Genomic DNA, 19,663 nt, shown 5'->3' with positions numbered 1-19,663 from the left:
CCCAGGTAATGCTAGTGATTCCCAGCTAGTGAGTTTAATATAGTAAGGAAACAAACACTTGTTGTCCATATTGTTGACTTGATAGTTATACCCCAGTAGCACTGAGCATTCAGATCTTGGTTTTTAAAGGAACTAGGACTTTTTAGAGAAGTGGCTGATTTAGTGCGGGAGCAGAGAAAATACAAGATGAGCCTGAAAAATCTTATGGTGCTTGAAAGTAAGGAAATGCTACAAAAAGTTAGGGACCTTGTCGAAAGGACCCAAGAGCCAACTTGAAGGAGTTCCTGGTATCCAGGTTGGAACAATTTGAGCAATAAAATGAATAATGATAGTATTGGACTTTAACCCATAAAATAAAATGAGTTCATACTGATATTGCTGAGTGAATAAATAAGTAGGGGAGAAGGGACAACTCTAACAGAAGAATTCCATTTAATAAACATAGAAGGAAAGAAGGAAATACAAAACCACCATTAGGGAAACAGTACCATAGTAGTTGTTGCAGACAAAATCCAGTTAGAGGAAAATCAGAATATTTACATAGTCTCAAAGTATCTCTCCCAGGATAATTATTAACTACAAAGAAAAAATAGTAATCCGACAGTGGAGGTACTATGTTAACAAAGTGATCAAGGTTAACATCACCAGTAATGAGACAAGGACATCATGAACCCAAAGAGGCAGTGAGAAGGACACAGCGGCATTTCTGTGACGTTTGTTATTCTTGCCAAAAATGCATAATCTTTTTATCTTTCTAATCATGATAAAATATTGTAAAACTCTAAACTGAGGAACATTCTACAAAATAACTGGCCAGGTCAGGTGCAGAGGCTCATGTCTGTAATCCCAGCATTTTGGGAAGCCAAGGCAAGAGGATCGCTTGAGCCCAGGAGTTCGAGACCAGCCTAGGCAACATAGCAAGACCACGTGTCTATTTTTAAAAACAAAAAACACCGAACCCAAAATAACTGACCAGTATTCTTCAAAAGTGTCAAGGTCACAAAGACAAGAAAGGGTCACAAATGACAGGTAAAGACTGAGGAACTGTCATAGACTAGACACTAAGGAAAAATAACAACTAAAAGAAATCGTGAAATCTGAATATGGCCTCTAGTTAATTGAATTGTGCCAATGTTGATTTCTTGTTTTCGATAACTATGCTTTAATTATGTAAGATGCTAGATGAAGGATATAATGGAACTGTGTGCTATTTTTGCAACTTTTCTGTAAGTCTAAAATTAGTTCAAAATAAAAAGTTTAATAAAAATATGTTGACTTGAAGTAGATACTAAAAGTGATTAGGGAAGTTGAACTAAACCTGGCAGTCAGTTGTGCCACCCACTGTCAGAAATCTTAGCAAACTCTTAGATCCTTCGTGCATAGCTTAATACCTCTACGTGGTCAACCGAAACTAGAGATACAAGTCAAAGGAGTTGGGAGGGAGTATGAAAAAGGGTAAGTAGGAAAGGAAGGCTTTCTGCACTCAGAAAATATCTGTAGAATTTGATCTGCGCCAGGCATTCAATTCCTGTGTAAAAAACAATTCCCTAAGGAAGTAGAGTGCTTTTTGTTCCGAGGCTAGTACTTTTTCAAACTTCTTTCAAAAATCTAGAATAAGTCACCAGTTAGTGAAAATACAGAGAAACGAAAAATTGTGAAAATAATAATGCTGGGATATTATGACAGTGGATATGGTACAGAGGAGTGGGCAAGACTTAGAAATTTAGTTTTAGACAGACAATAAATAGCTAGCACAAGTTATAGAAATACCTAAGCTTGGCACCAGATCTGACTGTTGAAAGTTGTGTATTAGCCTTAAAGGTTTGGCTGCTGGTGTTTTGAAGTGAAATTGTAGACAGAATTTGGACCATGGGCTTTTGGAGCATTAGAGCAACATAGATAGAAATGTACCAGTAGGTTTCCAAACCAGTTGTTCTCCTTTATGGCCATGCCCCTCAAAAAGTATGGTAGCAATGCATACACACCTGTTTCGTTTGTCAGTTCCTGGGGCAAGAGAGAGGAGAACATTCTGCAGCTATTTTCTAACCTTGGGTAATATTTTTTATTTGGCTTCTCTGTTCTAAAGAGGGAACAGTGTGTGTACTAAATAGTACTGAAGATTGTCATCCATATGCCTTCTCTCAGTGATCTCAAGATTGCCAAATTAAAAGTAGTTTCTCACAAAACAAGTTGACTTTTTTCCAGGAGCATTTTATTTTCAACAAAAAATTATTTTAGATTATATGAATTCAAAAAGAAGAATGATTCCTTTTTTCATACTCCTTAATCTCTCATTATCTAAGGTAGTTGTGAAATAGGAAACTCTTAAGATTTCACTTTGTGTATGAAACTTATTGGAGAAACCATCTCATACAAAAAAAGTTATGATTATTGATTAGCCTTGACTGTAGTACCCCCTAGAAGAAAATATTTAAAATGGGAATTCAAGAGAGTTTAAAGCATTTATACTTTTTCTATGTGCCTATCTTGATTTTATGTATCATATGAGGAATTGGTTGAGGCTGAAGTCTAAGGGATAAATTGCCTGGAAAAGTCATTCCAATCCAGACTCAGTCTGAAACTTAATTATTATGCTACCACAAAAAAGAATAAGGGAATTTTTATCTATTGAAGGCAGATTTGAACTTACTAACATACATTCAGGAAATAGCAAAGAACAAGATAGACTATTTAGAGAAGTTAATTAAAAAGTTGCCATGGTTAGTTGATGTAAATTTCAGTGGATTAAATAGAACTACATTTTCTATTTTGGTGTGAAAGTACTATTTTCTTTTCTAAATTTTCTTTTAATAAAGTTTCAGGAAGGATCTTAAATTTATTTTAGTTTACATACACAAAACCCCTGATTTGTATTTTCTTTTGTATAGCATTTGTGCAGTAGAGAAGCTCCTCAAATTTTGTTTTTTTGCTCACTGTTTTTAGTGAAGGAGGTTTGAAAATACAAGCATCCCAGCTTTTGCTGTGGGCCTCCCTAAATTTCCTGTGATCTCTACAGGGGATCTTTTTATATCCCTCTAAGAGCCCTTAGCCTACAGGGGATCTTTTTATATCCCTCTAAGAGCCCTTAGCCTTCACCTAAATCACTGGTTCCAGTCTGGATTCCCTAGACATCTAGAAGTCCTGAATGATTTTCTTTCTGTATCCATAGTACTTGGCATTGGGCCTAGCACATGGTGCGCTCCTCAAATAAGTGAAACAATTATGTTTAACAATCATAAAGTAATGGTAGTTCTCAAGGTATTTTTATTTAGCATTTCTAAAAACCTAATGATAGTCATATACTTACCTTAAATCAGCTGCTTAGGACTTAAGCTAATGAAGTTGAGAAAGGAAGCCAGTTTTAGGATATCCAGATCTTTCCAACTCTGTGTTATAGGGATATAAAGTATTTTGTCTAATTTAAAATAATGGAAGTTTTTAAACCAAGGCTAGTAGCATTAGTTTTTTGTTTTATTAGAACTTCTGTTTGGCAGATCTACATATCCGATTACTAAAAATGAGAAAACGAAATTATTACAAGACTGCAGATTGTTTGGACATCTTTCCAAAATGGAGGAGGAGGGGTGGGATTGGAAAAAAGTTACCTTTGATAGCAAAATGGTTAGGAACCATAGTGCCTAATGGTCCTGAATCATTTCAGATTCCTCTAGGAGTTTAAAAGGATGTACCATCTTTTTGGAAAAAAATGCACATGTGTATGTAAAAAAAATTTTTTTTTTTTTGGAAATGGAGTCTCACTCTGTCCCCCAGGCTGGAGTGCAGTGGCGCGATCTTGGCTCACTGCAAGCTCCGCCTCCTGGGTTCACGCCATTCTCCTGCCTCAGCCTCCTGAGTAGCTGGGACTACAGGCGCCCGCCACCACGGCTGGCTAATTTTTTTGTATTTTTAGTAGAGACAGGGTTTCACCATGTGTTAGCCAGGATGGTCTCCATCTCCTGACCTCGTGATCCACCCGCCTTGGCCTCCCAAAGTGCTGGGATTACAGGCGTAAACCACCGTGCCCAGCCGTAAAGATTTTTACATGTAATTTCAGAGGATTCAGGACTCCTGGAAGTTTATCCTGTATTTTTTGGTGTGGAAGTGAAAAATTATGAGGGGTGATTTCTCCCACCGCCAATATTTATTCATAGTGGAAGAGTATCCTTTGGCTTTGTGAGCAGATTAAATGAGTTAATACGAATAAAGTGTTTAGAACAGAAAATAGCACTCCATAAGTGTTAGCTACTAAGTGTTATTATCTGACAGAGGGTTACTGTATACTGTTTAATATCCTGCCAAATAAAGTTTTCTGAGTTGTATATTGCTTGGAGGAACTGTGCCTTTTTCTAATTTGTACAAAGGCGTCATGTGAAATAGCAACTTCCCTACACAGAAATTCATGCCTTCAGAGAGTATGCTAAGATAAACCCTCTTTTGTACAACCATTAGGTAGGCTTCTTTTACCTTATTTCTATGAAGAGATGGTTGCTTAAAATTTTGTGAGGAAAACAAAGATCCATATCCTTCTATATTGCTCTTCTTTATCCCAATGTAAGTTACCTGCTTTGCCTCTGAGCAGATTAACTGCTACTGGTCTTGTCCACAGTGTGAAAGTTTGGTTTTGCTTATTAACCTCTTTCTCTTTTAAACATTATAAAATATTGAATAGAGATGCTGTAAGCTATTAGGATTTATGATACAGTGGGTATTCTTGTACCTTCACCCAGTTAAAGAAAACAAAATTACAATTATCTTTGAAATTCTTTGAATGCCCTCCATCCCCCACCCTTCCCTCTCCCATCAGAGGTAATAATTATCCTCAGGTTTGGACTTAATACTTCTTTTTTTTTTTTTAAAGCTTTATTGCAGCCGGGCACGGTGGCTTACGCCTGTAATCCCAGCACTTTGGGAGGCTGAGGCGGGCGGATCACCTGAGGTTCGGAGTTCGAGACCAGCCTGACCAACATGGAGAAACCCCGTTTCTACTAAAAATACACAGTTGGGCTGGGGTGGTGGCTCATGCCTATAATACCAGCACTTTGGGAGGCTGAGGCGGGCAGATCACCTGAGGTTGGGAGTTCAAGACCAACCTGACCAACATGGAGAAACCCCGTCTCTCCTAAAAATACAAAAGTAGCCGGGCATGGTGGTGCATACCTGTAATCCCAGCTACTCGGGAGGTTGAAGCAAGAGAATCACTTGAACTCAGGAGGCGGAGGTTGCAGTGAGCCAAGATTGCACCATTGCCCTCCAGCCTGAGCAACAAGAGTGAAACTCCGTCTCAAAAAAATATCCCTAAACAACACATTAATTTTATATCCTTTTGAAACTTTATGTAAGTGGAAAGTTTATATAAGAATGTGTGCATGTGTTTATTTTTTTCCTTGTGCTACTTGCATTTTTTTTTTAAGCTCAACATTCTTGAGTTTCATCTGTGTTTAGAATGACAGTATCCTATTGTACAGCAATACCTTAATTTATTCATTCTCCCGTTCGTGGCCATTGTGGCTGTTATTTTGCTATTACACAGTGCTACCATGAATATTTTTATTCATGTTTTTAAATGTACAGGTGCAGTTTCTCTAGGGTATGTGCCTAAGAGTGCAACTGCTGAGTTATAGGAAATGCACATCTTCAGTTTTACTAGGTAATGCCAATTCCAAAAGTGATTGTACAGATTTATAGTCTTGTCATTAGACTATAAGAATTCAAGTTACATTTTATTTTTGTCATTTATTCATTCCAGAAATATTTATTGGACACTATAGCAGTAAATAGAAAGGTAAAATGTCCTGCTTTCAGGGAGTTTATATTTTAGTGGAGAAAAATAGCCAAAATAAATAATATAGCAAAATGGTACCTGTTTTATGTGAAAAAAATAAAGCAAGCCTAGTAGTACTTGTTATTGCATTGCTGATAGAGCCATATGGGGGGATTTGAGGCTAAGGGGATGGGATATAACCAAGAAGTCCTGTGTTTCAGGTGGTGATTGACATGAACAGAGATATAGGTATGAGATTGGTCCTGATGCTTTCAAGCAGATAATTGAAGCTGTATTGAAGCTGTGAGTGTTGGGGTGGGGATAGGGGTTAGGAATCTTGCCAGGAGCATTTTCCCAGGCCCCTCTCTTCACTCCTACTCATCCAGTAGCTCTAAGGCTAAAGAATGAGTGAGGAAGCTGGTAATGGGTGGTATTATTTTGAGCATTTGGAGTTCTGGGGCCCCCTGGTGGCTCTTGCCTACAGAGGTTTAAAGGACCAGGAGAGGAGGGAAGACTTGTCTGAAACATATGGAACGGTGGAGTTCTCTTGATGCAGGAATACTTGGAATTCTAGTGCTTGTTTGATTCTTGAAGTTGTAAAACTGAAGGTTGGGGAATGGATGGAATTATTCTGAGCACTTGGAGCTTTAGGGCTTTCTCTTGACTCCTACCAATAGAGTCCTCTGGGAGGAGTGGTTTTTGCTATAGTATGTGGAACCCCCTTTGTCAGTTTTTGTAGTGTGGTAGATGTGAAATAGTATCTTGCTGACACTACAATAGTATCTTGTTGCATTTACTTGATTTCACTCTAAAAATGTAAAATCTGATCAATTAAATGTCAGACTTTTAATTTTTTATCTTTTGTGTTTATCCACCATTGTGGGAGTTTTATTCGTCATCTCTCTGTACCATGACTAGAGACCCAAGATTTAATTCAGTAGCTGAAGCTTTCACTGGTAGCTCTTGTCAGCAGACCCTCAGGGAAATCTATTATGCCCTGTGCTATCAGCACCAAGTATCTAGTCATTGAGTCGGAAACCAAGCCTTTTGTCCACTCTGCCTGAGGAACTGAATTAGTAGCCCTCACCCGTACATTGTTACCTAACCTCAGAAAACACATCAGTATGTCTACTTGACTCTATTTCACCCGCTCTGGGACTTCCATCAAAATATGGGCCCCATGTTGTCGTAGCACTATCAGAGCCTCTTCATTCGCCTTTTAAATTTACCATTTTAAAATCTGAGAATCACAGCTATTACTTCTGTAAGGAGAGTGCTTTGGCTTACCACAACTAAGGCTATAATTCCTTCTATTTTTCAGGCCAGATCTTTATATTTTAACTCATGCCCTCCCCAGCGTCTCTTATTACTCTCATAGGATCAAGTCTCAGAATTTACAAAAAGAACATTGGAGAAAGGCATGGTATATATAGTATTCTGATTCTGTGATACCCTCTAGGTGGCCTTCTAGTTGCTCCATACATCCTACTGTCCCACCTTATTTACATGCTACATCCAGTGTCATGAAGGAATGCAAAGATGATGATAACATCTGCAAATTCCAACTTATTTACTATGCATTTTCCAAGAATAGCTCAGGACTATTGCTCAGGGCTGTGCCTTACTTGCCTTCTCAGAATGACACGGTGTATAAACCAATAAAACTAGGTGGTGGGCACCCGGGCACGGTGGCTCACTCCTGTAATCCCGGCACTTTGGGAAACCAAGGTGGGCGGATCACCTGAGGTCGGGAGTTCGAGACCAGCCTGACCAACATGGAGAAAGCCCGTCTCTACTAAAAATACAAAATTAGCCGGGCATGGTGGCACATACCTGTAATACTTGGGAGGCTGAAGCAGGAGAATCGCTTGAACCCAGGAGGCGGAGATTGCAGTAAGCCAAGATTGTGCCATTGCACTCCAGCCTGGGCAACAAGAATGAAACTCTGTCTCAAAAAGAAAAAAAAACAAACAAGAATAACAAACAACTAGATGGTGAGCAATTAGACTTGCCCCTCTTGATTTTTGACTTTTTTTTAGCCTTCAAAAGGATTTCATTCAACTTTCTATGGTTAGCTTTTAAGAATATTATCTAAAAACTGTGTAAGCTTTTTTTTTTTTTGGATGGATTGAAACCTATTATGGAAAGGCTGTCATCATTAATGTTATCCCATACATTATGGGGATACCATATGTGGCACCCATTTCACAGAAGAGACGTACAAGAGATCGCTAAGTTTTACCAGGTTAGACGTGATTATACAGACCTTATTATTCCCAAGGCACACATGGAGTAAAGAAGAAATATAGTCCTAAGAAATTAAGCTAGTCCTAGTATAAATGATCCAGAATTCTTCCTAGTGCCAACATATCAGTTGGTTTGAACCCATGTTAAATAGTCATGGGAAAACCCATGAGACATTTCTTATCTGCCTTAACTAACCTGAATAATTTCCAAATGCATGTTTCTAATAATAATGTGAACAACTGCAAAACCCATGAGTCGTCTGAAGTTTTATCATTTACAGGTATGTGACGCATTCCCAGACTCTTCAGCCAACTGAGCATCAGCTTCTTCACAGCAATTGGGTCCTGATTAATGTCCTCCCAAGACAGACTTCATTGGATCCACGATCAAGAGGACTCTGCCAGGTTTTTCTGACCCCTCTACATTGCTATAAAGTGCCAAGGCCTTAAGACTTGGGTACGTGTGTTACAACGGCAAGAGTGCCAGCGCCAACAAAAGACCCATTGGACCTGTCAGCTCCTCTGTTTCACCAAGCAGACACAATAACCTTACCAACAAAGCAGAGTAAGCCAAGTGCCTCTGTGTGACACCACCAGCAGCTGATGACGCATAAGAAAAATATAACTAATTTAGACTAGAGCCCTATCTCTTCTTGAGAAGCTGGGATTTGAAGGAGCTATCCTGAGATCTGTACTGCTAGTAAGTGACTGATAACATTATAAACTGGATCGGTCCCTGAGTTCAGAGACTGAGTTGCAATTGAGTGAAAAATAGACAACGAAATCTTGAAGAATTGCACGGAGGTGCAAGCCAAGTTTATTTGGCTCTCCAAATAATATTGGTTGAACTAAGAAATTGGTAAACGAAACCTGTAATAGGACTGGTGTTTGGGCGTCTCTCTCTGTCACTGTTGTCTCTTGCTGTCACATTGCTGTCTGTGTTGTCTTTCTAGGTCCAGATGTTTTCAGATAATTCACATTGCCCTGATTGTGGACAACAGTGGTTCCCTAGTTTAGAACTAGGCCACTGGTTGTACCAAACTGAACTTGTTGAAAATGAATGTTACCAGGTATTCTTAGACCGTATTAACAGAGCTGATTATTGTCCTGAGTGTTATCCTGATAATCCTGCTAATAGAAGCCTTGTTCTTCCTTGGTCTTTCCCACTTGAGTGGGCTCCCCAGAATCTCACCAGATGGACCTTTGAGAAAGCTTGCCATCCATTTCTTCTGGGTCCTCCACTGGTTAGAAAAAGAATACATGACTCTCGAGTAGCTGGTTTTAACCCTGCATTACAGTTAATCTTGACCAGAACAGATAAAACCTTAAACAAAAAACTGGGCCAAAACAAATAGCTTCTATAATAGTCAAAATTGTCAAGTCTAGAGGCTTTTGTGTAGGTAGCCCAAGGAAGATGGAAAAATAATTCATTTCTAAGTCTGACCCAGATTGTCACTACTTTGGGAACTGCTTAAATTGTTGGATCTGCTTCCGTGGCCTATACATATTTTATTCACATGAATTTAGTTAGTATTCCAGCCAGCCTGTTCATCTAGACTGAGGCTAATCTGTTCATCTAGACTGAGGCTAATCCGTATTTCCTATAAACTGTTTTGGAACTAACTTACCACTCCTAAAAAAATTTCTGCAACCTAATGAGTGTCATATGACAAAGTAGTCCTAGAGGGGAAGTCCTATACTGTGTGCTTCATAGTGGTATTTCTAATGATAACTTTTGTGGGAAAGCAGCCTCGTTATAGCTGGATCCTAGATTAGTCCAGTGAATTTTAATAAGAAATTACACTGTTGTAAACTCACCTCTTATGCATTGGTCAGTGATGAGATATATATATAAATAGATAGATAGATAAAATTTGCTCTTATATAGCCATTTATTCATCATTGGCCCTGTTTGGCCCATCCTCAGTGTGGCTGTGAGATTATTGATAACTGGTCACTGTCAGATAAATCACATTCTATTAGGAAACACCTATATAGGTTATGCAGAAACATGCAGAAATGCCACCTGTCCATACTTACGTGGCTTTACATAAACAAAAGACTGTCTTGTCTTTGTGGTGACTGAATTTACAACGTCCTCCCCTGGAAATGGAAAAGTACCTATCAGGAGATGTATGACAAAAGAAATTATCAAGCCTGACTTCATATATATTATGAACAGTCTAGAGGAAGCATCTTTCTTAGAACTAAGGAGGTCTGCTGAACATTGGCCACATTCTGGACTTTCATGAAAATCATGGACCCAGAGTTGGGGTTAAGCCACTTAGAAAAAGCTGTTGAAAACATCTCAAAGGCCACTGAACAATTTTTAAATTACACTTAACATGCCAGGTATCTAGGTATCTAGTGCTTTTAGCAATATTATCAATATTATCAAGGTCCCAGCTTCTTTGTGTCCTTCCCCCTTGCGATCCTCTTTTTTTTTTTTTTTTTTTTTGCTTTTTAAAAAATAGTGACAGAGTCTTGCTGTATGACCCAGGCTGGTCTCCAACTCCTAGGCTCAAGCCATCCTCCCACCTCGGTCTCCCAAGGTGCTGGGATTACAGGCGTGAGCCACCCTACCCGGCCTAGGATCCATGTTTGCTTTTTATCGTTAGGTTTTTTTTTCTCAATGAGTACAATATGACTTCTTGTTGTAACAGACATTTTAATCCCTAGGAAAGGCTGGAAGTAGAGAGCAAAAGGCTTTCTTTCAAGTCAGTGTTTTATTTGGGAATCAAGTCTTTCCCAAAAATCCCTAGCAAATTTCTTCTTACATCTCATTAGAAAGTACCAGTTTACAAGGGAGCCTGGGAAACCTTGGCAAAGGGGAATAGGGTTAGCATTGCCTGGGTAGGCCACATTGCCTCCATTGAAGAAATCAGGGCTTTTTTTTTTTTTTTTTTTTTTTTGAGACAGAGTCTCACTCTGTCGCCCAGGCTGGAGTGCAGTGGCAGTCTTGGTTCACTGCAACCTCTGCCTTCCGGGTTCAAGCAATTCTCCTGCCTCAGCCTCCCGAGTAGCTGGGACTACAGGTGTGCGCCACCACACTTGGCTAATTTTTGTATTTTTAGTAGAGATGGGGTTTCACCATTGTTGGCCAGGATGGTCTTGATCTCTTGATCTCATGATCCACCCGCCTTGGCCTCCCAAAGTGCTGGGATTACAGGCATGAGCCACTGTGCCCAGCCCTTTTTTTTTTTTTTTTTTGACGGAGTCTCGCTCTCTTGCCCAGGATGGAGTGTAGTGGCACGATCTCGGCTTACTGTAACCTCCACCTCCTAGGTTCAAGCAATTCTCCTGCCTCAGCCTCCTGAGTAGTGGGGATTACAGGTGCCCGCCACCATGTCTGGCTAATTTTTGTGTTTTTAGTAGAGACGGGGTTTCACCATGTTGGCCAGGCTGGTCTTGAACTCCTGACCTCAGATGATCCACCTGCCCTGACCTCCGACAGTGCTGGGATTACAGGCATAGCCACCGTGCCTGACCAGGGCTCTTTTAGCAAGGAAAACGTGAGGAATGAATGGCTGTTGGTGTGCAACAAATCATACTTGCTACATGTTGTGAAACCTGAAGTTATTTGTTAGTCTGTATGAAGAATGTACCCCAGAGATGCACCCTGTATCTGCCTTATGTCTCTTACAATGGAGGTTCTCTCCTGTTATATTGCTGAATAAACTATGTGAACTGCTAAATTGACTGAAGACTAGTTAGTTTATCACTAACTCTTTAATGAAGAATTTCACTATCCTACAACTCCTCCTAAAAAGTGAAAATTTACTTTGAGAGAGTGCTTTCGAGAATAGTATTATGATCAGTATTATTGCCCCTAAATTTTTTAATTATTAGAGAATGCTTATGTTACAAGGACATATACTAAGAAACATTCTACAAATGTGAAAATTTAAATATCAGCAAAATAGAGAAAAGGTTTTTGTTTTTGTTTTAGTCAATATCTCCATTAAATAGTAAGATCAGATTAAAAGGATTTATATCATTGATTTCTCAAATCAATACCTAAGCAGTACCTGTGAGAGCTTGTTTAAAAATGGAGATTTCTTGGTCTGCTTTAGAAATTTTGATTCCTCAGGTTGCTTGTAGGGCCCAGGAATCTGCATATTATAAATAACACCTCATGCCGGGTGCCATGGCATGTACCTGTTACCACAGCTACTTCAGAGGTTGAGGCAGCAGGATCACTTGAGCCCAGGAGTTCAAGACCAGCCTGGGCAAGATAGTCAGACCACTGTCTCTTTCAAGAAAAAAAAACAACATAAAAGATATAAATAGTACCTTTGGAGATTCTGATGCAGGTGCTCTCTAGACCATACTTTGAGAAATGCTGTAGTAATATGTCCATAGTGTTTACTTATCTGGCTTAAAAGGATGGGAGCAGAATACTCATAGTACTGCAAGATAGTACCATTTATTTGGTAATACTGGCTATGTAAAAAGAGATTTCATGTCAGACTGAAGATCACTGTTAATAATTTAGGTCATAACTCAGCCACATTTTTCTCATTAATTAAACTAATCAGGAATGTTTCAGTCTTCTTCACAAACAGTTTTGTTCAGTGTCATTATAAACTATGTGAATATATGGGCAAGAAAAATGAATCAAAAATATTAATTTTAATATTAAGAGGGTTACTTTGCCTTCAAACATCACATACCTGTTATATGATAAGCTGTCAGAAATCAACATCATGTAGTAGAGCTCATAAAATTGAGCAAAGGAGAAAATTGAGGAAGCCTTTGAACAAAGCTTTTCACCTTAGGTCTTTCTAGTATGTCTTCATATGGCTTAAAATATTGCAGGTTATTCTAGAATACTCCATAGTTGATATGAATAATGAATTTTATTAAAATATAAATGCTGTGTTGGTAAAATTAATTGTAATGACAAATGATCTGGAGGGTTATCCAGTGTTTTAAATAGTGTGAGCTACACTCGTCTCTATTTTTATAGTGTGGAAGAGTTGGTAATATTGCTTATATGTTATGGTAGCATTTCTAAAATGACCATTATAACTACTCCCTGTTATTTTATGGCAGTCCAGGGAGTGAAAAGGTTAATGGAAACATGCAAGGGCAGACCGGAAAGAAAATACATCCACCAAAGAGGTGGCTGTTGGGGGATATGAGTGAGTGAGGTAAGATTCATCTCTGAGTTACAGGTGAAGGAAGCCCAGGCAAACAGGAAGGCAGAAATGAGTCCATGGCATCCAAAGAATATGTGGCAGTCCACATGTCATAGCTGTCTGTAAAAGTGAGATGAGCCGCAGCCCGTTCATCTCTCCAGTCTCCCTGGCAACCCTGAGTCTCCATGGAATTTTGGGGACACAGCTTGAAAATTGCTTTTTATAGAGGCAAAATAATGGCCTTGCAGCCAGCTGGGTTTCTATTCTAATTCTGATACTATTAAATGACCTTAGGCATTTTAACCTCTCTGTATCTAGTTTCTTCATCTGTGAAAAAGGTTGTGTAATAATACCTACCTCATACTGTTGTGAGGTTTAAGTGCAATAACATATACCAAACATATGGCACATACTAAATCTTTAGGATGAGGAAAGATGTAGGGCAAGAAAGCAAAAGCAGAAGTTAGAACTGGGGAATAAGGTAGAGTCTTACTTGTTTTGTTTTGTTTTTTTGAGACAGAGTCTCGTTCTGTCACCTAGGCTGGAGTGCAGTGGCGCCATCATGGCTCACTGCAGCCTTGACCTTCTGGGCTCAAGTGATCCTCCCACTTCAGCCCCCTAAGTAGCTGTGACTACAGGCTTGCACCACCATGCCCAGCTAATTTTTTTATTTTTGTAGAGATGGAGTATCGCCATGTTGCCCAAGCTGGTCTTGAGCTCCTGGCCTCAAGCGATCCTCTCACCTGGGCCTCCCAAAGTGCTGGGATTATAGGCATGAGCCGCCGTGTCCACCGAGTCTTAGTTTTAGAACTAAGCCAATTGTTTGAACTGATGGCTGAATTATTATAAACTTATTGGCTGGTGGCTCACTGTAATTCCAGCACTTTGGGAGGCTGAGGCAGGAGGATGGCTTGAGCCCAGGAGTTCAAAACAAGCCTGAGCAACATAGTGAGACCCCCAACTCTACAAAAAAGTTTTAAAAAGAAAAAAATTAGCTGGATGTGGTGGTATGTGCCTGTAGTCCCAGCTACTCAGGAGGCTGAGGTGGGAGGATCACTTGAGCCTCAGTGAGCTATGAGCTTGAGGCTGCAGTGAGCTATGATGGTACTACTGCCCTCCAGCCTGGGCAACAGAGTAAGGCCCTTTATCTAAAAACAAAAACAAAAAACTTCTTAAATCTCTCCTGATGAAGGACAGGATTGGTTTGGGGATGAGGTTGAGCCTGTAGTATAAGTCAGATGGTCTTGGGTGTAAAGATTAAAAGGCCTGGAGGGATGGATGACCGAAGGCAGATTTTTGTCACAATGTTTAGGCCCATTTTATAATCTTAATTATGGTAGATATAATTGCTGTATGACTTTTATCACCTGAGACTTTCCACAACACTGAAATAAACAAATTCCTGAAGTGGTAGTTCCCTGAAAAGGAAAAAGAAGAAATAGAGAAAAGTTGAAGGATATGTACAAATTCACTCAGGTCATATGTACTGGAGTCACAATTCAAACCTAGATGTAAGTTTTCCAGAGTCAGGGTGCTTGTGGTATGCTTAATACAAGCTTTTAAAAGTGTCATGGTTAGGTCCCACAGCTAGACTACCTGAGTTCAAATCCTAACTGCCCTCAGTAGTCACGTGTTCTTGGGTAACGTTCTTAACTTTTCTGTATCTCAGTTTCCTCATCTCTAAAATAGTAGGAATATTAATAGTCTACACCTCATAAGATTGTTGTGAAGATTAAACGAGTTAATAAAGTGCTGTGAATGATGCCTGGCACAAAGAAGGCACTCAATAAATAGTAGTTCTTATAGTTGTTGTATATGCTTTATTTGTTACTCGTTTTCATAGCAGGATTGTAACTACTTGTTTCAGGGCCAAGATACCAGTTTCTTTTTATCCCTAGAGCCTAAAATGGCATCATTCACTAAAATAAAATTGTGTTTAAAAATAAAGATATATACTTAATTCTACCCCAACTGTCATACATTTGTCATGATGGCATTTATATCTAAACTACCATCCTGGAATGGCTGATTCTTTTGTGCTCTTCTTGGCTGCTAAACTTCTAATTTCCTTCTCCATTTAAAAAATGGTCTTAGTACTTCCTGATACCTACCCTGCCTCCCCTCCCCAGGTTTTCCCCAGGTCACCATCCCTTCCCCTCTTTTTCACTGGTCGCCATGGCAATGCTAGCAATTTGCAGGATGGAGTGGAGGATGGGTAAGGTCCTTTTGCTCTCCCAGCTCTGATTTTGTTCTCACAGGCAGCTTTTCCGTGTCCTGTCTCTTCTCAGCTGGTTGTGACAAAATGTCTAGGAGGCTATGGTGGAAGCGTACTCCGTAATGTAAGGTCATTGCATGTAGGCTGAAAGAGTTTCCATTATAGGTCTTTCCTTTTGATACTTAATTTTTTTTTACAGAGACTGATTTATTTTATTACTCATTTAAAAAGGCAGTAACTACATCAAACATACAGAAAAGTGCAGAGAATAATATAGTAAGACCTTTGCCCAGATCTAAAATATATGAACATTTTATCCCATTTACCTCAGATGTTTTTATTTTTTTAAGGAAACTTTATGTGTACAGTTGACACCCTCTCTTATTCCTTGCAGAAGCAAGCACTAAATGGAAGTTGATATGTATCCTTTCCATTTATGTATTTATGTTTTGTTATAAATTTATATATGTTAATAATGCTGTACATTATTCTCTGTACATGTACATGCTGTAACATATCACTCTGTAGTGACAAAAAATGGAATACTTTCAAACCTTCATTAGTATCAAATATATATACATACACAAACATATATATGTATGTACATATATTTATTTTGTTTGTTTTTTTCCCCCGAGACAGGGTCACTCAGGCTGGATTGCAGTGGTGTGATCTTAGCTCCCTGCAGCCTTGAACTCCTGGGCTCAAAGGATCGTCCTCCTTAGCCTCCTGAGTAGCTGGGATTACAGGCGTGTGACACCATACCTGGCTAATTTTTAAATTTTTTTTGTAGAGACATCATCTCATTATGTTGCCCAGACTGATCTTGAACTTCTGGACTCAAGCAATCCTCCTGCCTTGGCCTCTCGAAGTGTTGTGAAGGTTAAATGAGTTAATACATAAAGTGATCTGAATGCTGCCTGACACAAAGAAAGCACTCAATAAATAGTAACTTTTATAGTTGTGTATGCTTTATATGTTACTACTTGTTTTCATAGCAGAATTGTAACATCCTGGCTTACATGCATGAGCCATCATACCTGGCCCAAATTTATAAACATGTAATATGTATTGAATTGTAGTTAGCCTTATAGCACTTAATATTGTATGTTGGAATCTTCTAAACTTGGTTATGTAAAAAGTCATTTGGTATACCACACAATGTCACCTACCAGGTAGTCAAAGCATTTACCATTTTACGGTGAGATGAAGTAGAAAGGATACATCTTAGAAGACAGAGCACAAGGCAGCCACATTTACAGAGGAAGCAGTTGAGGCAAATCTGTGTCCCAAGCAGTTGAGGCAAATCTGTGTCCCTCTTAGAAAAGTCCCAGGAAATAGAAATTAAGCAAGGCATCCCTCAGCCGGCCGTCTAGTAGGTTCTCCATAAATGGAGAATAAAACCTTACAGCCTTCACCTGTTACAAGCCTTGATGGAGACAACTAAAGCAAAATGATACAAGTTTTGCTGCAGATTTCAGCGTCACAAGGAAGTGGAAATGACTGTCAGCAATGAGACTACATTTTATTTAAGTAGAAATATGAATCATTATAACCGCCACGTATAGAGCACTGAACACCAACATTTCGTAATTGAACTTGCAAGGGATTCACTCAGAGTGAATGTCTTTTGTTGCCATATGAAGCACACAGGTCTCATCAGTTCCTTGTAGAAGATACTATCAAAAGCATCTATTTTGGGGCATGCTTATGGAGTGGTTTTCCCTACAGCTGTAGAAAGTCTCCAGCTACTGCATTTTCCTTCAGGATGAGGCTCTGCCTCACTTCCATTATGCAGTCCAGAGGTTCCTAATGAACACATACCCTGATAGGGATCAGACACTGTTCAAAAGATTGACCTGCTTGGCTGGGCGCAGTGGCTCATGCCTGTAATCCCCACCACTTTGTGAGGCTGAGGCGGGCAGATCACTTGAGGCCAGGAGTTTGAGACCAACCTGGGCAACATGGTGAGATGCTGTGTGTACTAAAAATACAAAAATTAGCTGGGCACGGTGGTGCGCAGCTGTAGTCCCAGCTATGAAGGCTGAGGCACGAGAATCGCTTGAACCTGGAAGTTGGAGGTTGCGGTGAGCCAAGATTACACCACTTCACTCCAGCCTATGCGAAGAGTGAGATTCTATCTTGGGGGGGAAAAAAAGATTGACCTGCCTCTGAAACAGTGGCCTCCAGATCTCTCAGATACCCTGCCATGTGACCTTTTCTGAGGATTTGTCAAGAACTTCCTTGTTTGTCCCACTTCTTGTACTGTAAGGGAAATGCCATTTCAACTATGAACAGTGATGATATGTTACAAAAGGTCTGAATGAAGTGGGGTGTAGGATCTGTGTGTGCTTTGTGACAGGAAAGGTGTATGTCAAGCATTTGTAAGATAATAGAAATATCTGTGATGGCACCTTTGCAGATTCTTTTGGACTGCAACCTAGTAACCAAGTAATACATTTTTGAAAACCTTCAGTTCTGTTTGTTTGCAATAAGGTTTATTGAGGATAATCTATGTCACATACAATTAATGTACAGATTTTAAGTTTGATAACAAATGGAACCACCACCTCAGTAAAGATATTAAACATTTTTTTTTCTTTTTTGAGACGGAGTTTTGCTCTGTCGCCCAGGCTGGAGTGAAGTGGTGTGATCTTGCCTCACTGCAACCTCTGCCTCCCAGGCTCAAGTGATCCTCCCACCTCAGCAGCTGGGACTACAGGTATGCACCACCACGCCTGGCTAGTTTTTGTATTTTTTTTTTGTAGAGATGAGGTTTCACCATGTTGTCCAGGCTGGTCTTAAACTCCTAAGCTCAACCGATCTGTCTGCCTTGGCCTCTGAAAGTGCTGGTATTACAGGTGTGAGCCACTGTGCCTGGTCAGCAGTACTTCACTGCTATAATTTTACAACTTTTAAAGATAACCTAATTTATTTTAATTGCTATGCATAATATTACATTGTAAGAATATGACAATTTTTTAAACCCACTTTCTTATTAATGAACATTTAGATTTTCTAATTTTTTCCTCATTTTAAACAATACAGCAATGGACATTTTGGGGCGTATTAATGAGATTCTCTATTATACGTCTAAAAATGGAGTTGCTGATTTGTAGAGTGTGTGCCTTAATTTTCCTTGCCATATTTCTCTCTAAAGTTGTAGTAACAGGTTTACTTCATTGCCATTAGGGGTTTAAGAGCTCTCTGTATCTCTAAATCCTCATCAACATTTGATATTGCCTGACTTTTTACCAGTCTGCTGGTGTGAAATGTTATCTCACCATTAATTTATTTTTTGTATTTCTTTGACTGTTTTTTAATATTCATTAGGTTTTCATATTTCCTCTTTGTTGAACTGCTTATTCATCCCTTTACCCACTTTTCATAGCATTATTTGTCTTTTACTGATTTGTGGAATTCTTTATGTGTTCTCAATATTAATTCCTTACTGGTTTTATGTGTTGCAGATGTTTTTCTAGTCAGAGACTTACCTTTTAATTTTGATACCTTGTGTAGAAATTAAAATTTTTTAATAGGGTCACATTTGTCAAATTTTCCTTTCTGGTTTGTGTATTGTATATCTTATTTAAGAAACCCTTGCAGTTATAAAGATATTTGATATTCTCAAAGTTTAAAAGTTTTGCTGTTTACATTTAGGTCTTTAATCTGGAGTTGATTTTTATATGAATAGGAGACAGAAATCTAATTTTTCCCCCTATTTGAATAGTCAGTTGTCCCCACGCTATTTATTCACTAATTCATTATTTCCCTTTTGTGAATTGGCCAATTTCCTTATGTATGTATGCATATATTTCTTGACTCTCTATTCTGTATACTGTTTGTCTATTCGTGTGCTAGTGTTCCATTGCTTTTATTACTTTAAGTTTTTTGTTTGTTTGTTTGTTTTTGACAGAGTCTTGCTGTGTCACCCAGGCTGGAATACAGTGGTGCAATCTGGGCTCACTGCAACCTCTGCCTCCCGGGTTCAAACGATTCTCTTGCCTCAGCCTCCTGAGTAGCTGGGATTACAGGCATGCGCCACCATGCCCGGCTAATTTTTGTATTTTTAGTAGAGATGGGGTTTCAGCATGTTGGTCAGGCTGGTCTCGAACTCCTGACCCTTGGGTGATCTGCCCGCCTCAGCCTCCCAAAGTGCAGGGATTACAGGCATGAGCCACCGTGCCCACCCTATTTTTAAGTTTAAAGAAGTTTTGATATCTGGTAAAGATTGCCCCCCTTCTTTAGAATTATGCTGACTCTTCTTGATCCTTTGCTGCTCTTTGTGAATTTTAGGACC

The 19,663-nt window shown here is 39.3% G+C and overlaps 1 protein-coding gene across 11 annotated transcripts in view; it reads left to right on the top strand.

Moving 5' to 3' along the window:
* The window catches only part of TOR1AIP2 (torsin 1A interacting protein 2), a 37,828-nt gene that overhangs the window by 3,661 nt on the left and 14,504 nt on the right, over positions 1-19,663 (top strand). For 2 of the 11 annotated variants that reach the window (NM_001349934.2, NM_001349935.2), the window contains 2 exons: positions 8,289-8,707; positions 17,973-18,085. The exons of 1 other annotated variant lie outside the window; for it this stretch is intronic. Coding sequence is in view for 3 of the 10 variants with exons in the window: in NM_001349931.2 (NP_001336860.1) it covers positions 8,967-9,362 (396 nt within the window). In the remaining 7 variants the exon portion in view is untranslated. Of the gene's footprint in view, positions 1-5,302; positions 5,336-8,288; positions 16,322-17,972; positions 18,086-19,663 lie in introns of those variants that run through there. 8 more of the 11 variants (NM_001349936.2, NM_001199260.2, NM_001349931.2 and 5 more) reach the window with 6 other exon arrangements.

Source organism: Homo sapiens, chromosome 1 (genome assembly GCF_000001405.40).
Source record: "Homo sapiens chromosome 1, GRCh38.p14 Primary Assembly".
Classification (NCBI taxonomy): domain Eukaryota; kingdom Metazoa; phylum Chordata; class Mammalia; order Primates; family Hominidae; genus Homo; species Homo sapiens.
Note: the sequence above shows the minus strand (reverse complement) of the source record. Positions and strands in the feature narration are given on the sequence as shown.